The sequence below is a fragment of the Homo sapiens genome, chromosome 21, assembly GCF_000001405.40.
Source record: "Homo sapiens chromosome 21, GRCh38.p14 Primary Assembly".
NCBI classification, from domain to species: Eukaryota; Metazoa; Chordata; class Mammalia; order Primates; family Hominidae; genus Homo; species Homo sapiens.
The window spans coordinates 44,020,595-44,038,458 of NC_000021.9; the positions used below are offsets into that span (position 1 = coordinate 44,020,595).

General features: G+C 44.3%; 1 protein-coding gene across 19 annotated transcripts in view, besides 1 other annotated feature; it reads left to right on the top strand.

Moving 5' to 3' along the window:
- The window catches only part of TRAPPC10 (trafficking protein particle complex subunit 10), a 94,244-nt gene that overhangs the window by 8,286 nt on the left and 68,094 nt on the right, over nucleotides 1-17,864 (top strand). For 16 of the 19 annotated variants that reach the window (XM_011529714.3, XM_011529715.3, NM_003274.5 and 13 more), the window contains exons 2-3: nucleotides 11,497-11,578; nucleotides 17,198-17,333. In XM_011529714.3, coding sequence (XP_011528016.1) covers nucleotides 11,497-11,578; nucleotides 17,198-17,333 — 218 coding nt within the window. Of the gene's footprint in view, nucleotides 1-11,496; nucleotides 11,579-17,197; nucleotides 17,334-17,603; nucleotides 17,700-17,864 lie in introns of those variants that run through there. The other 3 variants (XM_047440973.1, XM_011529721.3, XM_047440972.1) reach the window with 3 other exon arrangements.
- Nucleotides 11,769-11,981: a silencer, noted in NCBI's record as "fragment chr21:45452244-45452456 (GRCh37/hg19 assembly coordinates)". NCBI's record gives its function as "represses an EF-1alpha promoter that drives an FKBP-Casp9 reporter gene in an ReSE screen in K562 erythroleukemia cells {active_cell/tissue: K562}" and the evidence as "EXISTENCE:reporter gene assay evidence [ECO:0000049][PMID:32094911]".

A 17,864-nucleotide genomic window follows, 5' to 3' on the forward strand; every position in this document is an offset into this window, starting at 1 on the left:
CTTCACTCCAGTCTGGGCGACAGAGTGAGACCCTGTCTCAAAAAACAAAAAACAAAAAAAAACAATTTCAGGGTTGAAATTTTTAGCAGAGCCTTGGAACTGACAACCACCTGTTTGGATAGTAACTTTAACTCAATCTGTAGCTTGCCATTTGTGGGCACTGTCAGTTCACCTAGACCAGTCAGCAAGCTCTAAACATCCAGGTTAATGAGAAGGGCCGTCAGAAGTCATTTTGAAGTTGAGGAGCTGAGGGCTGGTTTTGCTGTGACTGGCCATGATCAGTGTAACTGTTTAGTAGCACAGCTCGGACCAATATTAGCATGTCTGATGACTCCTGCTTTACCAAGTACTTAGGGAAGGCAGACACCATCTGTTCACATGGAAGCAGGGAGTTTGTCCCTAAAATTATGCTTCTGAGAAAGCCTTTGCCATATAATTAAATAAAAATGTCACTTTAGCATTCTAAGAATTGAGTAAGTAAGCTATACACTAGAAATTTTTAGTATAGTCTTATTCCAAAATTAAATTCCTATTCTGAGAACTTGATACCCAGCACTGTCTTTGCTTCTCCTGTAGTCTGTTCTGTCCTTTGGGGATCCTGGGTTGTCTAGTGTGGAGTATGGAGGAGTTGGGCTGTTTTCATCAGTGAGCAAACATTTACGGAGGACCTATTACATGCCAGTTACTGCTGAAGGGGCTTGGGTTATGTCAGAGAGCAAAGATCCCAACCCTTTGAGAGTTTACATTCTGTCAAGAAGAGATAGACAATAGACAAATAATGTTAGGTGACAAGTGCTATGGAAAAAAGAAAAAGAGAAGGATAAGGGAAATGGAAGAACTGTAACATTTCACATATTTTATTATAAAAGTGCAATATGTATCAAAGTAGACAGAATATTATAAAGAGACCCTACAAACCTTTCACCCAACTACAGCAATTAGGTGAACTGCCCAATCTTGCTTCTCTATACCCCTCATTCTCCCCAGTCTTATATTATTTTGAAGCAAATCTCAGACATATAATTTATCCACGAATGGATGTTATGGACTGAACATTTGTGTCCCTCCCTACACACCGAAGCCCTGACTCCCAGTGTGCTAAGAATAGGAGATGGGCCTTTGAGAAGTACCAGGGCTAGATGAGGTCAGGAGGGTGGGCCCTTTATTATTGGATTAGATGAGGAAGAGTGAGAGGACACCTCCCCCTTGAAACGAGGAAAGGCCACCTGAGGATAACAGCAAGGAAGTGGCTGTCTGCAGTCTGTAACACAGGCCTCACCAGAAACCTAATCTACTGACACCTTGATCTCGGGCTTCTTGACCTACAGAGCTATGAGAAAATACATTGCGATTTTTTTTTTCTTTCTTAGGGTCTTTTCAGAGAGAAAACAAAAAACTGTTTTCTAAGCCACCCAGTCTATGGCATTTTTTTTTCTTTTTAAAAATTTCTTTCTTTTTTTTTTTCTTTCATGGTATTTTTTAATTACACCTAAAACGTTTCTTTCTTTCTTTTGTTTTTGTTTTTGTTTTTGAGATGGAGTTTCGCTCTTGTTGCCCAAGCTGGAGTGCAGTGGCACAATCTCAGCTCACTGCAACCTCCGCCTCTCGGGTTCAAGCAACTCTTCTGCCTCAGCTTCCCAAGTAGCTGGGATTACAGGCACATGGCACCATGCCTGGCTAAATTTTTTTTTTTTTTTTTTTTTTTTGAGATGGAATTTCACTCTTGTTGCCCATGCTGGAGTGCAGTGGTGCGATCTTGGCTCACTGCAACCTCCGCCTCCCAGGTTCAAGCGATTCTCCTGCCTCAGCCTCCCGAGTAGCTGGGATTACAGGCGTGTGCCACCATGCCCAGCTAATTTTTTTTTTTTTTTTTTTTTTTTTACAAAGACGGGGTTTGTTAGTAGAGATGGGGTTTCTCCATGTTGGTCAGGCTTATCTCGAACTCCCGACCTCAGGTGATCCGCCCACCTTTGCCTCCCAAAGTGCTGGGATTACATGTGTGAGCCACCATGCCTGGGCCTAAAACGTTTCTTAATACCAAATATTCAGTGTTTAAGTTTCCAGTGTGTCTTAAATGTCCATTTTTAAAACTGTTTGAATTAGTATCCAAATACAGTTTTTAGATAAATCCTTTAAGTCTCTTAAAATCTTCATGTTCCCTCTGTCTCTTTTTTTTTCTTTATAACTTGATGAACCTGGCTCATTTGTCTTGAAAAGGTCCCACTGCCTAGACTTTGGTAGTTGGAGCTGGAGGCTGGGTCAGCTTCAGGCTGGATTTTTTGTCGGCAGGACTTTATCATGGGTGTTGCTGTTCTTCCAGCAGGTGCGTGATGTCCGATTACCTCTCCTTTTGGAAATTGGCAGCCATTTATTTTCACATCACTAATTCCCTAAAGGTTGCAAAATGGTGATATTCTCATTTCCCTATGTCTTTTTTTTTTTTTTTTTTTTTTTTTGAGACAGAGTCTTGCTCTGTCGCCCATGCTGGAGTGCAGTGGCTCCATCTTGGCTCACTGCAAGTTCCACCTCCCGGGTTCACGCCATTCCCCTGCCTCAGCCTCCCGAGTAGCTGGGACTACAGGTGCCCGCCACCACGCCGGGCTAATTTTTTGTATTTTTAGTAGAGATGGGGTTTCACCGTGTTAGCCAGGATGGTCTCGATCTCCTGACCTCGTCGTGATCCTCCCGCCTCAGCCTCCCAAAGTGCTGGGATTACAGATGTGAGCCACCGCGCCCGGCCTATGTAACCATTTTCAAAGTGAGTTGGTTCACTGGCATCTTTCAGAGGTGATCGGTTGGCGTGTTTTTGTTGTTCGTTTAGTATGGCTGTGAACTTAATCATTATGAACATACTTGATGTGTTACAGTCCATTGCATTGTTGCCTCGTTGGTGAGCAGGTTGTTCTCCCTTTGGCCAGGGAGAGTCTCTTTCATGTTGGGGTCTAAGATAGAGGCATCTTTGTCAGATTCTTTCCTATCTAGCCTGACAAGATGTTCCGGGCTCATTTTGAACATTTAATGCCCTGATCTGCACTTAGCAATTGCCAAGGAGCCCTGATTCCTTTTAGTGAAAAATAGTATTTCAAGACCATAGTCTGCAAGCTTGGGCTCCTAGTTGCTGTGAGGCCTTTTCAATAGGCAGAGCTAGGAATAGCTAGGCATTTTTGTTTGTTTGTTTTTTGTTTTTGTTTTGTTTTGTTTTGAGACAGGCTCTTACTCTGTTGCCCATGCTGTAGTGCAATGGCACGATCTCAGCCCACTGCAACCTCTGCCTCTCAGGTTCAAGAGATTCTTGTGCCTCAGCCTCCCGAGTAGTGAGTAGCTGGGATTACAGGTGCATGCCATCACATCTGGCTAATTTTTATATTTTTAGTAGAGACAGGGTTTCACCGTGTTGGCCAAGCTGGTCTCAAATTCCCGACCTCAGGTGATCCACCCACCTTGGCCTCCCAAAGCATTGGGATTACAGGCGTGAGCCACCGCACCAGCCTAGGAATTGTTCTTTGTTTTTTGTATTTTTAAGATAAAATACATCATAAGTTCACTCTTTTTGATGAAAACTCAGGGCTGCAGGGTTTTAATTAACAGCTCCATCCTCTGTGTTTTCTCTTTTCCACACTGAAAATCCTAATTCTCATGGGTACTTGAGGAGGCTAGAGTTAGAGGTTCCCCAGCTCATGCTGCTTCAGTCACCTGGAGGGCTTGTGGACACACAGATGGCTGGGTCCATTCCCCATTTCTGATTGAACAGGTCTGGGTGGGGCCTGAGAATGAGCATTTCTAACAAATGCCCAGGTGGTGCTGATGCTGAAGGGCCAGGGGCCACTGAATAGAACATCACACGATTGCTCACTTGCTTTCAGTTGCTTTATCCCTCATTACATAGACTCTGAATAACACTATTAACTCCACCATCAACAACAGGACTAGTGAACACAGGTCTAGAACTGTTTTTGACAGTTCTTATTGGCATTTGGATGTATCCCATAAGGAATGAACAGTCAAATTACTGTAGTTTTAAAGTTACTTGTCATAGCTCCTCTCTCTGAGATTATACCACTAAATGTATATGTATACATTTAAGTTCACTTGTTTTATTTTTCCTGATTATTTTTAGGGAAAACCTTGAAAAAATCTAATTGCTTTATAACTATATAAAATATTTACTTCCAAAATTAAATCTACAAAATGAGGTCTATTTAAAGAAGCCTTGTGTATGTTCTGTCCTCTCCATGCTAACTCCTCCCTTCCTGAGTACTCCATCACAGTTTTTATGGTTTTCCTTCCACGTGAAAAACATCCAAACATATTTGTATTTCCCTTTCTTAGCTTAGACATTGCCAGCTGCACACACTGTCCCACCTCACTTTCCCCCGGACTCCACTCCACGCTAGGAGTATGTTGAGATCATTCTCATTCCATGATGTCGATATTCCGTGGTTTATTCTGCCAGTCCCCTCCTGGTGGAATTTGAGTTGTTTTGTGTTTTACTGTTTCCAGTAGTTGTGCACAGATAGCCTGTCTGTGGCCTTTCCGACGGGCCTGTTGGGATGGAGCCCTGCAGGGCGGGTTGCTGGGCTGAGGCAAATGGTTATGTCACTGTGCTGATGCTGCCTCAGCTCCCTCCTGAGTGCTTGCACCATTGGGAAACTGCCTGTAGGCCTCGCTGAGAAGCCAGCCCTTGAACAAAGCCAGTGGCAAAGGGGAAGTCTGGGGAAAGACCAGTTTGGGAACCCTTCTGTCTAAAGCCTTAAGGCATTGGGGTGCCAGGAACAGGAGTGTCTCTTTTTAACTTGTAAATACAGTACTGTGGTTCAAACTGCTACAGTAATGCTGTGTTTATTTAAAAAATGTATACACTGTTAAAGGCTGATTCCTCAGTATTCTTATATTCAGATGCATTTATCCAGTCTTTTTGTTTTTAAACTCTTGAATTTTAAGTTTGCTCTCTGAGGGCTAGAGAAGGCAACTTGTTTCCTTGATTAGAAGAGTTCATTCAACTTCTTAACATTCTTGGCCTGTGTGTTCTTGTCTTTTAAGTTAAAACAGAAAAAGACTGGGACTTTCTGTCTTTTGACTAGTCTTTACGTGTAGTAGTTCCTTTTCTGCAAATTTCCACAGTAGGAAACTTGATGAACACTAATGTATGGGTTTTCTTTTGACCCCACCTACAGTGGGTAGTATTGTCATATGACTGGGTGCTGGGAGAGAGCAGCAGAGGGCAGGGGTGTGTGTGTGTGTGTGTGTGTGTGTGTGTGTGTGTGTGTGTGTGTGTGTGTGTGTGTGTCAGAGGGAAGGTAGAGACCACAGGAAGGACCTGGAGGAGAGCCAGGCTGAATGGGTATAACGTTAAGCCGGCGATGACATGGCAGGGGGTGTACTGAGTACTTCTTTAGACTTGGCCTTTAAACTTGGTGGTGCAGAACTGTGGGAGGGTTCATTTGCTTTACTTCTCAAATATGTGCCTTCTAATGAAGGGAGGACAGTGTCTATGCTAGAAATGTGGAGTTAGTTGCCTAGTCATCTTAGGGGGTGACTAAACCTTGCTTTCTACCTAGAGAATCTGGATAACATCTGGATCCTTTTTTGTGCTTTCTCGTTGACCTTCACTCCCTGCCCCCACCCCCGACTGCGAAGGCTTTTCACGGACAGATACTCTGGCAGGAGCACCGGGGAGGCTTCCATACCCATGATTATGCATTTGATGTTAGTTTTCACCATGAAAGAGCTCCCAATCTGAAGCATTAATTTTCATTACTGCCTCGACATTATACACGAATTATAGCAAATACTTTATGCATTATTGAACAGGCTGAGATGACTTCCCAGTTTGTAATCTCGGATGTTTTTATCGTCCATTTGAAAGCCCGTTTTACCAAAAGCCATTGAAGAGAAATGAATGTATGGCCTATGGGCAAGCACTTGCATTCCTAGGCTTGAAGACGGTGCCCTCTCTAATCCCGTGTTTTCAAACATGAACTGCCTCATAGTGGATTGCAGCTTTCTTTTGTTAATAGGCTTAAAGAATTATTATTTCTGCAAAATTTTCTGTAAAGCAAATCTTAGATAAATTATACATTTCCTTTGACTTTTTTGTTCAAAAATAGAATCATGGAACCTTGCTTGGAGGGCCTTAAAATTAGTTCATCTCTTGTCTAGTCCAGTCACTCCGCTGCTTTTAGTCGCAACTGGGAGATGACCCAGCCCATGGTTGAGGCCCCCAGCTGTGGGACACTTTCTGTCATTCTTCACCCCCCTCCACCCTCAGGGTCTTCTCTCGTAGGCCACAGCATTTCTTGGGTTGAGCTAAATCCATTTCTCTGTCTTTCTCACCCATTAGTGCTCTGGGGCCTACTAAGCCCTACAGAATAAAGCCAGCCTTTGAAAATAAGACAGCCCATTAGGTGGCCGAGGACAGTGTCTTGTTAACAGGTTGAAACACTCCACATGTCTCCAACAATTTAAGATAAAGTGAGATGTATTTTATTAGAAAACTTACTGTTCCTTTTACCAAGATTATGCTAAAGAATTTGAAGAAAAATTGTCCTGTATCAGAGTATCAGCAAATATTCAGACTCCTTATGTCAAGGTTTTTTTTTCCAACATAAATCTCCAAATAGAAGTATTGACCTTGAAAATATATCATGTCAGGTATTTAGGAAAGCGACAAACTGACTGAACATTCTGTTTTGCTTAGCCACTCTCTCAGGGTTATAATTTTGTGATCCTTTTATACTTTTGTATGAGTAAGACCATCACGGCTTTGCACGTTCAAGAATTGGTTCAGTAAAAAACAGATGACAGAAATGTTCACTCTGTCTGCGGAAGGCCTTTTGGAACCCATATTTTCAGCCAACCATTGTTAAAACAACTGCTGCAGAGTAAGTAGTAAACTTGTTAGAATTAAGAAGTTGGGAAGGAGCACTGGGCAGTATTGAGTCCTAAGCCAAGCTACCTGGGTTCGAATCCCAGCCTTGGCGCTCATTTGCTTGATGTTGGGCCAATTAGGGGAGTTCTTGATGTCTTGGTTTCCATATGAGGGTTCAGGGTGAGTATGCGTGAAGTGCCGGGGGCATAGCAGGCGCACGGTGCTGTCTGGAGGGACGGTAAACAGGTGGCCCTTCTCTTGACTGTGTTACCTAGCAGCTGTTCCATGACCCTAATGTGATGGTTTTGGGAGGTGGGGCCTTTGGGAGGTGATTAGGTCATGTGGCTGGAGTCCCCACAAAAGGGATTAGTGCCCTTATAAAAAAGGGCCCCAGAGATCTCCCTTGCCCCTTCCCCCACGTGAGGGCACAGCAAGACCAAGGTACTCAACCTGCTGAAGCCTTGACTCAGACTTACACCCTCCAGAAATGATAAATAAATTTCTGCTGTTTATAAGCCATCCTAGTTTATTGTATGTTGTTATGGCAGCCTGAACAGAGTAAGACATTGAATTTATTGAAATGTTACCTGTTACACTAAATCACTGAAGTCATCTTTTTGAATTCTTTCCCCCATCGTGTTTCTTATTTGCTTTGAACATAAAAGGTTTTAAATTACACAAGTAATGCATGAATACGTGCTTGTAAAAATCTCAGGGAATACAGTAATAATTCAGGAAATAGCTAAGCCTATGTTAGTAATCTGATTGCATGTAACAGAAAATCCAATTGCAACTGCATAAATAATCCAAAAACTGATTGGTCCATGTAATCAGACCCCAGAGCTCTGCCCCGCTTTCCCGGGGATTCTCTGAACTGGGCTTTCCTCAGCCTGGGGGCCCATCCAGCGGCTCCAGGCGGCACCCTAGAAAGAGTGCCTGTGTCCCTCTGGGTGGCTGCTGCTTGCCATTCCCTCTACATGTCTCTTCCCATCTGGGGACTCCAGTGCCTGCTGTTCAGCCAGGGTGATGCTGTGCTCCCACAGACTTTAGGGATCCATGGCACCCCAGCTTCCTGACCTGCCGCACCCTCTTATCTCCCTGTCTCCCCAGTGGGCATGAGAGCCAATGGTGGGTGTGGAGACGCACAGGGATGGGGGTGTATGTAGTGAAGTTGTGTTTTGAATTGCTCTTATAAATTATTTTGATAGATCTCCTCTGTCACCAAAAAAAGGAGACCTTAGTTATTGGAATAAAAGGCCTGAGTTGTCTCTTAATAAATAGCCTCCTGAGGCAGAACAGTGAACTGGGTGACTTTGTGAACAGGGTTTCTGAGTGTGGGCACATCAGTCTCAAGCCCCGTTTTGGCTCTTAGGAACCACCCTATTAACAAGCGAGTTCCTGCTGGGTTTCGCTCATGCCTCTGTTGCCCGTGGGATTAAAATGAAAATTTAGCCTGGAACGTGCTCTGCCTCGCAGTTCAGCCCGCAGAGCTCTAGTGACTTTTCTGCTTAATGGTTGGGTTAGTTCAGGAAACTACAAAGTCTGTGTTGTTAATTTAATTACCTACCGCGTGAGCCAAGATTGAATTCTTTTGGGCTCTTAAACTTAAGCTGTTCACCATCTTTTTTTTTGTTGTTTGTTTGTTTTTTTGAGACGGAGTCTCGCTCTGTCGCCCGGGCTGGAGTGCAGTGGCGTGATCTCGGCTCACTGCAAGCTCCGCCTCCCGGGTTCACACCATTCTCCTGCCTCAGCCTCCCAAGTAGCTGGGACTACAGGCGCCTGCCACCACACCCAGCTAATTTTTTGTATTTTTAGTAGAGACGGGGTTTCACCGTGTTGTCCAGGATGATCTCTATCACTTGACCTTGTGATCCACCCACCTCGGCCTCCCAATCTGCTGGGATTACAGGCGTGAGCCACTGCGCCCAGCTGCTCTTCACCATCTTTCATGTGCTGGTTCTCCATACCCCATTTTCAAAGGCATCTCTAATTTCATAAGACTTGATGTGAAGATTTAAGAGTTTATTAAAATAATGGTTGTATATGCTGAGAAAATGGTGGTGATTTTTCTTCACATTGTTAATGCAGCGCCTCAGTGGGTTAGAATTGGGCCTTCAAATCTACGCTGGGGCACTGTCTTGGTGTGCTAGGGCTGCCGCCACAGAGTCACACAGTCTGGGTGGCTTAGCACAAATGCGCTGTGTCACAGCTCTGGAGACCAGGTCCAGGCAGCCACAGCATGGGCCTTTGTGTCCTCATGGGGCCTTCCTGCGTTCCTTCTGTCTGTGTGACCAAATCTTCTCTTTACACAAGTCAGTTGGATTAGGGCCCATCCTGAAGACCTCATTTTAACTAAGCTACCTTATCAACTTTGAAGACCTTATCTGCATATGGTTATATTCTGAGGTACTGGATTTTAGGGCTTCAACAGGTAGGTTTTTGTGGGACACAGTTCAGCCCATAACAGGTACTGAGGTCAGATGGTCCCAGGTCAAATTCCTACTTAGGTCAGATGACACTTTTGCCACTGTTGGATGTGCTGATTGACTGGTCATCTTCTAGGTGAACACAGGTTAGAGAGTTAGTCCATGATGGAATGCGAGAGACATTGCTACTTGGTAGTCTCCATTTAGACGAGTCTTACTGTACGGCAGGGTTCCCAGGGAGAAGAGCTTGGAGCAGGTGTTGGAGGCAGTTCCACTTTTACTCTGTACGGATGTTATTTGTATACGTATGTGAAGTAACTGTATTGCAAAGATAGAATGTGAGAGAGAGAGCGAGAGAGTGTGTGTGTGTGTGTGTTTGTAGTTTTATATAGAAAACCAAGTGGAAGAGGAGAAAGCGATTCCATTTAGTTGGCTTACTTTCCACTTAGCAAAGAGTAATGATTTTTATACATTAATCTTGGAACTGTTTAACAGGACAACAGAAATTGGCAATCAAAGTTAAGAAACCAGAGGCTAACTAAAGATTTTCTTCTTTTCTTTTATTGATGTCTTTTCTTTCTTTTTCTTTTTTTTTTGAGATGGAGTTTCGCTCTTGTTGCCCAGGCTGGAGTGCAATGGTGCAATCTTGGCTCACTGCAACCTCCGCCTTCCGGTTCAAGCGATTCTCCTGCCTCAGCCTCCCGAGTAGCTAGGATTACAGGCATGCGCCACCACGCCCGGCTAATTTTGTATTTTTTTAGTAGAGACAAGGTTTCTCCATGTTGGTCAGGCTGGTCTCAAACTCCCTACCTCAGGTGATCTGCCCACCTCGGCCTCCCAAAATGCTGGGATTACAGGTGTGAGCCATCACGCCTGGCCTCTTTTATTGATTTCTAAGATGACTACCAAATAAATGAACAAGATAAAAAGTGATAAGTTCAAACATACTGTTTTTGTGTTAACAAAATGTAGTAATAGTCCCTTTTTAACCACTATGTGCCATGCCTTGTTGGAAGTGACTGACGTGTCTTGTCTCATTTAATCCTCACCAGAGCTCCTCTGGCCGAGCTCTTCTCATTTTCCCATTTCCCATGTCCCCGAGGCACAGGAAGGTTAAATGATCTCCCCAGGTGCAGTCAGCTGGTCAGTGATGGAACTGAGATGGGGACCGGGCAGTGAGGTTACCAGCGCCTTGCCCACTCACCGTGCCATCTGCCCGGAAATGTCATTACCCTTCCTCAGTGACTTGACATTATTATATGAGTTTCAGGAGGTTTTTTATTTTTAGGCTTTTGATAGCAAAATAAGCAGATGTGTTAATGGCACACATCAATTCCCAATGATTTCTTAAAGATCAATATAAAAGCAATTTGGAAAATGGTTTGCTAAAGTAAAGAGGATCCTCTGAGTATAAGAATTTTAGTCATCTATATTAAAAGGTTCTTTTTTAGCCGAAGTGTAATACAGTTATATCATCATTTTATGAGAACAAAATGGATTTTTCATTTCTATTAAAGCAAAGATAAAAGCTGAATTAACACTGAGCGTGCAGCGTAAAGTCGGCCGCAGCTGGATTCCTAACTCGCGTCTGCCACTGTCAGCTCTGTGCACTGAACACGTTGGCCCTCAAAGCTGACTTTCCTCATCTGTGAATTGGGGTCGTGTTTGTGCCTTTCCTCCCAGGAGTTATGGGGAAGACAGAATGAGAGGGTGCCTGGCAGGTGCCTTGTGTAATATTCGCACATGGGGAGCCACCTATAAATTTTAGCTCCTCCTGGCACTTGGTTGAACAGTGAGTTGATTTTGGTGAAGTTTTGGTTTCTTTTTCTCCATGGATTTTGGGCGTCTGGGAGAAAGTGGAGGCTGTAGAACACAGCAAAGCTGGGTGAGGTGGAGCAGGCTCCCTCTCCTAAGCTTTGTGTCCTTGGGGCAAGTTCTTCACCTTCTCTGATCCTTGTTTTCCTTGTGGGGAAAATCACACCCACCCCATGGAGGTGTCACGAGGGTTCAGCTTCATCACATCTGTCCCGTGCTGGGTTTTCCTGAGACGTGTTATGTAGAGGCACAGGTACAGAAGAATCTTGCGATATCGCTTTACTAAACATAAAACTACCTAAAAACACCAATTTATTAAGCTCTAGAGCCATTTTGCATGTATTCACCTAAAAATATGGTAACTGAATTTCTTTCTTCCCTTCATAGGTGCTGGAGATCAGAATTTATTTACCTCTGTTTATCCAACGCTCTCTCAGCAGCTTCCAAGAGAACCAATGGAATGGAGAAGGTATGAGTTGTGTGTTTTTTGGCTGTATCCCTCTCTTCATTTTTTAAAATGAAGTACATGTTTTTAAATAAGTATATGTTGTTTAGACATTTATGTGAACAAGTGAAGTAGCACAAGTTAAAAGCCTCAGTTCTAAAGAAACAGAATGACCTCACATAATCTGTGGGTCTTTGTGGGTCTTATTCTTTATGGAATGCCATGGTTTTCTTTTTTTTTTTTTTTTTTTTTGAGACAGAGTCTCGTTCTGTCGCCCAGGCTGGAGTGCAGTAGCGCAATCTCGGCTCACTGCAACCTCCACCTCCTGGGTTCAAGCAATTCTCCTGCCTCAGCCTCCTGAGTAGCTGGGATTACAGGTGTGCGCTACCGCACCCGGCTAATTTTTGTAGTTTTAGTAGAGACAGGTTTTGCCATGTTGGCCAGGCTGGTCTTGAACTCCTGACCTCAACTGACCCGCCCTCCTCGGCCTCTCAAGGTGCTGGGATTATAGGCATGAGCCACTGTGCCCAGACTACGATGGTTTTTCTTAACGAGACATTGGAAAGTAGAAGCAAGACAATTATTTTGAGTTAAAGACTCACTTTTATAGGAATGATCTGTGATTCTTCATGGTTGACCAGAATGTCTTAAAGGCACAGGCGTTTTGCAAAGGAGACACGTGCTCACTTAGACTCCACCTTAAAGCGGAAGAACTGGGCTGTATCAGCCATCTTACAAGACCCTCCCTCCACCCTGGCTCCTGTGCGTTTTCCTTAAGGACAAGAAGGTAAACAGAAAGATGGTATTTAAAAATTAGGAGCGAGGTTAGATCAGCCATCACCGTTGCTCTGTTGCATGTTTACAGTTAGTCGTCTGGTGACATACTCATAGGAAATCACTGACTGGGAATCCTCTTCTTGGAAAACTTATTTCTGGTAAGAGCAGGTGTTACTTGTAAATATAAAGTTGTGTATATGTAAATGTAAATTTGTAAATTTGGATTTTGTCTTGTAACATAGGTAATCTGATTTTAACCAGGGTATACAGAATTTCCTGTTGTTCTTTGTGTTTATGTAAGTCTGATTCTTATAGCATTATTCCTTTCTGACCACCAGTTTGTGCCTTAGTAACATGAGGGATTAAGGTGGCTTTCTGGAGTTGACTTACCCAGGTGAATATAGTCTAATTTCTGTGCTGATTATAGTGTCTTACAAGATATGCATTTAGTTGCTAATATTTAATATAAAGAGTGTACAGAGTGTAAGAGAAAAATTGCTTAACATGTGAGGAGGCCCAGTGCTGTGAAAGAGAGAAAAGAGTTTAGCAAATGGAGTAATCTGTAAGGGCATTCTGATAGATAAAGGGAAAAAAAAAGTGTGTTCATGAAACAAGATAATTTTGAGAAAAAAATTAAATGGAGAAACTATGTAGGCCCGGCATGGTGGCTCACGCCTGTCATCCAGACACTGTAGGAGGGTCAGGTGGGAGGATCGCTTGAGCCTAGGAGTTCAAGACCGGCCTGAGCAACATAGTGAAACCCCTGTCTCTGTAAAGAAGAAATAAAATTAGCTGGACATGGTGGTGCACGCCTGTAGTCCTAGCCACTTGGGAGGCTGAGGTGAGAGGATCACTTGAGCCCAGGAGTTGGAGGCTACAGTGAGCTGAGATTGCACCACTGCACTCCAGCCTGGGTGACAGAGCAAGACCCTGGCTAAAAAATAAATAAAAAGAAACTGTGTAGATTTAATATTTGTATTCATCTCTTCCCCTTTCCGAAACTCCAGTAAATGGACTACATAAATACTAAACAAATAAATGGACTAAAAAAAATGGACCAAACAAATGCTAAACAAATCACCCTAAAGAACTAAAAAGGCAGACGTGCATAAAGACAGAGAAAGGAGGAGGCAGCGGAGGCCGCAGGATATAGCTGTGTTTTTGGGAGAAAGAGAAACAGGTGGAGGAATTGGGAGAGAAAGCTGAGGAAGTTCAATCCCTTGTGTCTTGTGGCTCCATAAGAGGAGGGGAATTTCTGACAAGGGACAAAGTGCCAGATCTTGGAAGGCCCGGGTGAAAGCAGGGCTGGAGATGGGGGTTGGCAGAGGTGTGGACAGGGACAGTTAGACTCAGGGTCCCCACTCCTGTCTGTAGTGAAGTGATTGCTGTCATTGCCCACTCCCCCAACCCCCCCCCCCACCCCCGCCGCCCCTCAGGAACCTGGAAAGTCTTTCTGTGGACAGAAGAGCTCCAGACCCTCGGATCTGAGGTGCTGCAGAAGGCAAGGGAGAAGGGCCATTCTAAAACCAGCCGGCCTAGGTTCTGAACAGGGCACAGCTCCGCTCCGGGAACTCTGTAGCCAGATCCATGCTTCCTAGGCAAGAGAGTAGAGAACTTATCTCAGGAAAATTGGATGGCCCCAGGGAAAAGACTACGTTTTTCAGAAACAACCTTAAAATTTGGGAAAGAAATGTGTTACCTTAGGGAAGATACGTCCACCTGAAACCTCAGGATGTGTCTTTATTGGAATAAGGGTCTTCGCAGATATGGTTAAGATAAGGACCTCACTGTGAGATCCTCTTCAATTAGGGTAGACCCTGAATCCAATGACAAGTGTCCTTGTAAGAGGCAGAAGAGAAGACACAGACACAGGGTAGAAGACCTTGTGAAGATGGAGGTAGAGATGAGAGTGATGTGTTCATGAGCCGAAGAATGCTGAGGATGCCAGCAGCCAGCAGAAGCTGGGAGAGAAGCAAGGAACCTCCCACTGCAGCCAGAGGGAACTAAGCCCACCCATACCTTGATTTCAACTTTCTGGCCTCATGAAACATGCAAGAATAAGCTAATGTCCTAAGCCTCCAGGTTTGTGGTAGTTTGTGACAGCAGGTCTGGAAACTCATGCAGGAGGGCAGGTTGAGGAGGATGGAGCAGGTACTTGGTGTAGTTTGGATGTGTCCCCAAACATTCTTGCATTGGAAACTTAATTTCTGCCCTCGTGAGTGGATTAATGTTGCTGTCACGGGAGTGGGCTCCTTATCACGTGAGTGGCTTTCTTATCAAAGTGAGCTCTCTTTGGCTCTCTGGCTCTTGCCCTGTCACCATGTGATGCCCTCTGCGGGTTTTGACATACCAAGAAGGCCCTCACCAGATGCTGGCACCTTGATCTTGGACTTCCCAGCCTCCAGAACTGTGAGCGCAATAACCTTCTGTTGCTTATAATTTACCCAGCCTGTGATATTCTGTTACAGCAGCAGAAAACATACCAAGACATGGATGTGTGTGTGTGTTGGTGGGCGGTGAGGAGGAAGAGAGGGAGAGAGAGAAAAGCTTTTCAGTACTCTTTGTATTGAAGTACTTATCTCAGGTCAGCACAGTGGCTCACACTTGTAATCCCAGCACTTGGGAGGCCAAGGCGGGTAGATTGGAGTTTAAGACCAGCCTGGCCAACATGGTGAAACCCTGTCTCTTCTAAAAATACAAAATTAGCCAGGCATGGTGGCACACGCCTGTAATCCCAACTACCCGGGAGGCTGAGGCAGGAGAATTGCTTGAACCTGGGAGGAGGAGATTGCAGTGAGCCAAGATTGCACCATTACACTCCAGCCTGGGTGACAAGAGCAAAACTCTGGCTCAAAAAATAAAATGAAATAAAACAAAAAATAATTACTTTGATAAAAAGTAGAAATTTAAAATTAATTGATTGGATCTAGGAAATGAAAACAATTGAAACAAAGTTTGCCAGATGCACTAAACAGCTGTATAGCTGAAAAGCAAATTAGTGAGCTGGAAGAATTGAGCTTAGAGACTCGGGAGATCATTGCTAAAAGCAGGAATGGGAGAGCATGGAGGAAAAGCTGGCCCTGGAGGATAAATCACGGAGCTCCAGGATCCACCTGAGGGGCTTTTCAGAAGGAAAGTGGAGGGAACAGAGGACAGGTGACATTTGAAGAATGGCTGTCAAGCTTCTCCCAGAAGGGAGTTGGGATACTGCAGGAGCCTAGTGAATGTCAAGCAGAATGAAGAAAACAAAGCAAACAGAAAATCATGCCAGGGAATCAGAGAGAAACAGAAGAAGAACCAAGTAGACAGTTTCTAACAGAACCATTTACAGTGCAACATAAAATACATTTACGAGCAGCCTCCCCACAGTCCTGAGGGAAAGTACCCCAGACCCTAGAATTCTTTATCATTCACAGTGTCATCAAGAGGGAAGACTCTGTCACAGCTTCCCACCCTGAGGGCCTTGCGTGAGCCACAGGTGCTGAGAGATTTTTCCTCTAGGCCCCCGGCTGGCCGTGTGGGGGCCAGGATGGCCAGGAGTTCTGCCCCATCACTTCTGTGTGCAGTTCTGTTCCATCACTTCTGTGTACAGAAAGCCATTCCTGTCTACCCCAGAGTCCCATTCACATATGTTCACTGCTTGTCATGATACGGAGATAGGTGCACTGAAGTGAATACAAATATTTTCAGACATCTATAAGAACAGAAACCTTGCGACCCTCTGAGTAATTAAAGGATGTATCCCAATACGAAGGCAGATGAACCCAGGGATCCAGGGTGAAAGCAACGTCTGCCAGCAACATGACATGTTTTGCTGAAGTTAAGGTGTCACTTTTTAAAAAAATTAAAAATCTAAAATTTCAGATGTGTGTGAAGGAGAACAGAGAGAAGGGGAGATAGACTTTAACTTTAGTCTTTGTAATAAAACCTTAAGTTACGTACTGAGAATTAAAATGCAACCAACGGTAGAATAGAGATAGATGATAAGACTTTCAAACCAGCAGAGAGAAAAGATGGAAAAAGAAAACTTGATTAATCTCCCAAAGGACAGGGGAAAACTAGAGCCGGCAAGTAGAAAATGTACATATTTAAGCATCAGCATAGTCCCATTCATGATGGTTGGTTTTAAGTTATTAAACACAGCACCCTTAGATCGGATGAAAAACAAAATCCAGCTATAACATTCAGAAGAGACGCAGCTGCTAGAAGTGAGAAGTAAAGGCACGGCACAGAGATCCACGCGGTGTGGTTCACTGTTAGAAGCATCGTTAGGCCGTCACTGAGAGCCTTGGATGAGATGCAGGGGGCGTGTGGGATTTCTTGATGGGTTCCTTCTTCTTGGGTTGAGAATAAAGTAGAGGTTTGTCCTGCTATTTTATTTGTGCTCTGCAAACAAAAATATGTTATATTTTCGCCAAATAACTTTGTTTCTTGGATAAAATACAAGTTGTTCCAAAAATACGAATGCAACCCTAAAGCTTTCGTAATTAAAACTGCACTTTGGACATTTGGGACACACTTTTCTTCTTTTATGGTGACATAATTATAGATTCCGTTACACTGAAACCCACCGTCGAGTCTGTAGTGGCCCTGGTTAAATGCAGTACTTGGAAGAATGTATTCCTGTGCCTGTATCCTTGAGGAAAATGAAAGATTTTGTGGAAATGGAGCTTTGACCTGTACACGTGAACTGTGTTTAAAATAATTCCTAGAATGTTTCTGAGCAGAATAGCGTAGTTATGATTTGGGGTTAATATATGTGCTCTGAACTCATGCATACCATTACATTATTTGTTGTTCTATTTCCCCTCTTCTGATGAATGCTGTTTAGTTGTTTTCTCAGTGACTTCAAACAATTGTTTACAGGTCCTATGGCCGGGCTCCGAAGATGATTCACCTAGAGTCTAACTTTGTTCAATTCAAAGAGGAGCTGCTGCCCAAAGAAGGAAACAAAGCTCTGCTCACGTTTCCCTTCCTCCATATTTACTGGACAGAGTGCTGTGTGAGTACCAGCAGGGGAAGAGGATGCGCGGTGGGATGGGGTTGGAGATGCGTGGAGAGTGCTGTGTGAGTACCAGTGGGGGAAGAGGACGCGTGGTGGGGTGGAGTTGGAGATGCGTGGAGAGTGCTGTGTGAGTACCAGTGGGGGAAGAGGACGCGCGGTGGGATGGGGTTGGAAAGGTGTGGGTCTAGGCTTTGTTGAGCCAGCTGTAATTTTTCAAATTTACTTTTTAACATACTCTGTTATAGGTTGTCCCTTCATTCCTTGGCCAAGTGCGGGACTTGCTGTTGCGTGTTTGCGCCCTGGTCTGGCGTGCTGTGCTCACCGTGGCGCCGAGCGTGGTCGTGTTCCCATGTCTCCAGTCTTGTGAGCTGTCTCACTGTGCCCCACGGCTGCCAGGCTTAGTCTAAGCTGTGTTTGATCATGACTTTCAGCTTTGTTTTCATGACCCCTGTGTTCCCATCGTGGCTCCATTGTCCTTGGTCATCTGTTGTTTCTTCTGCTTGTTTGTGACCCCACTGAGGCTAGGAC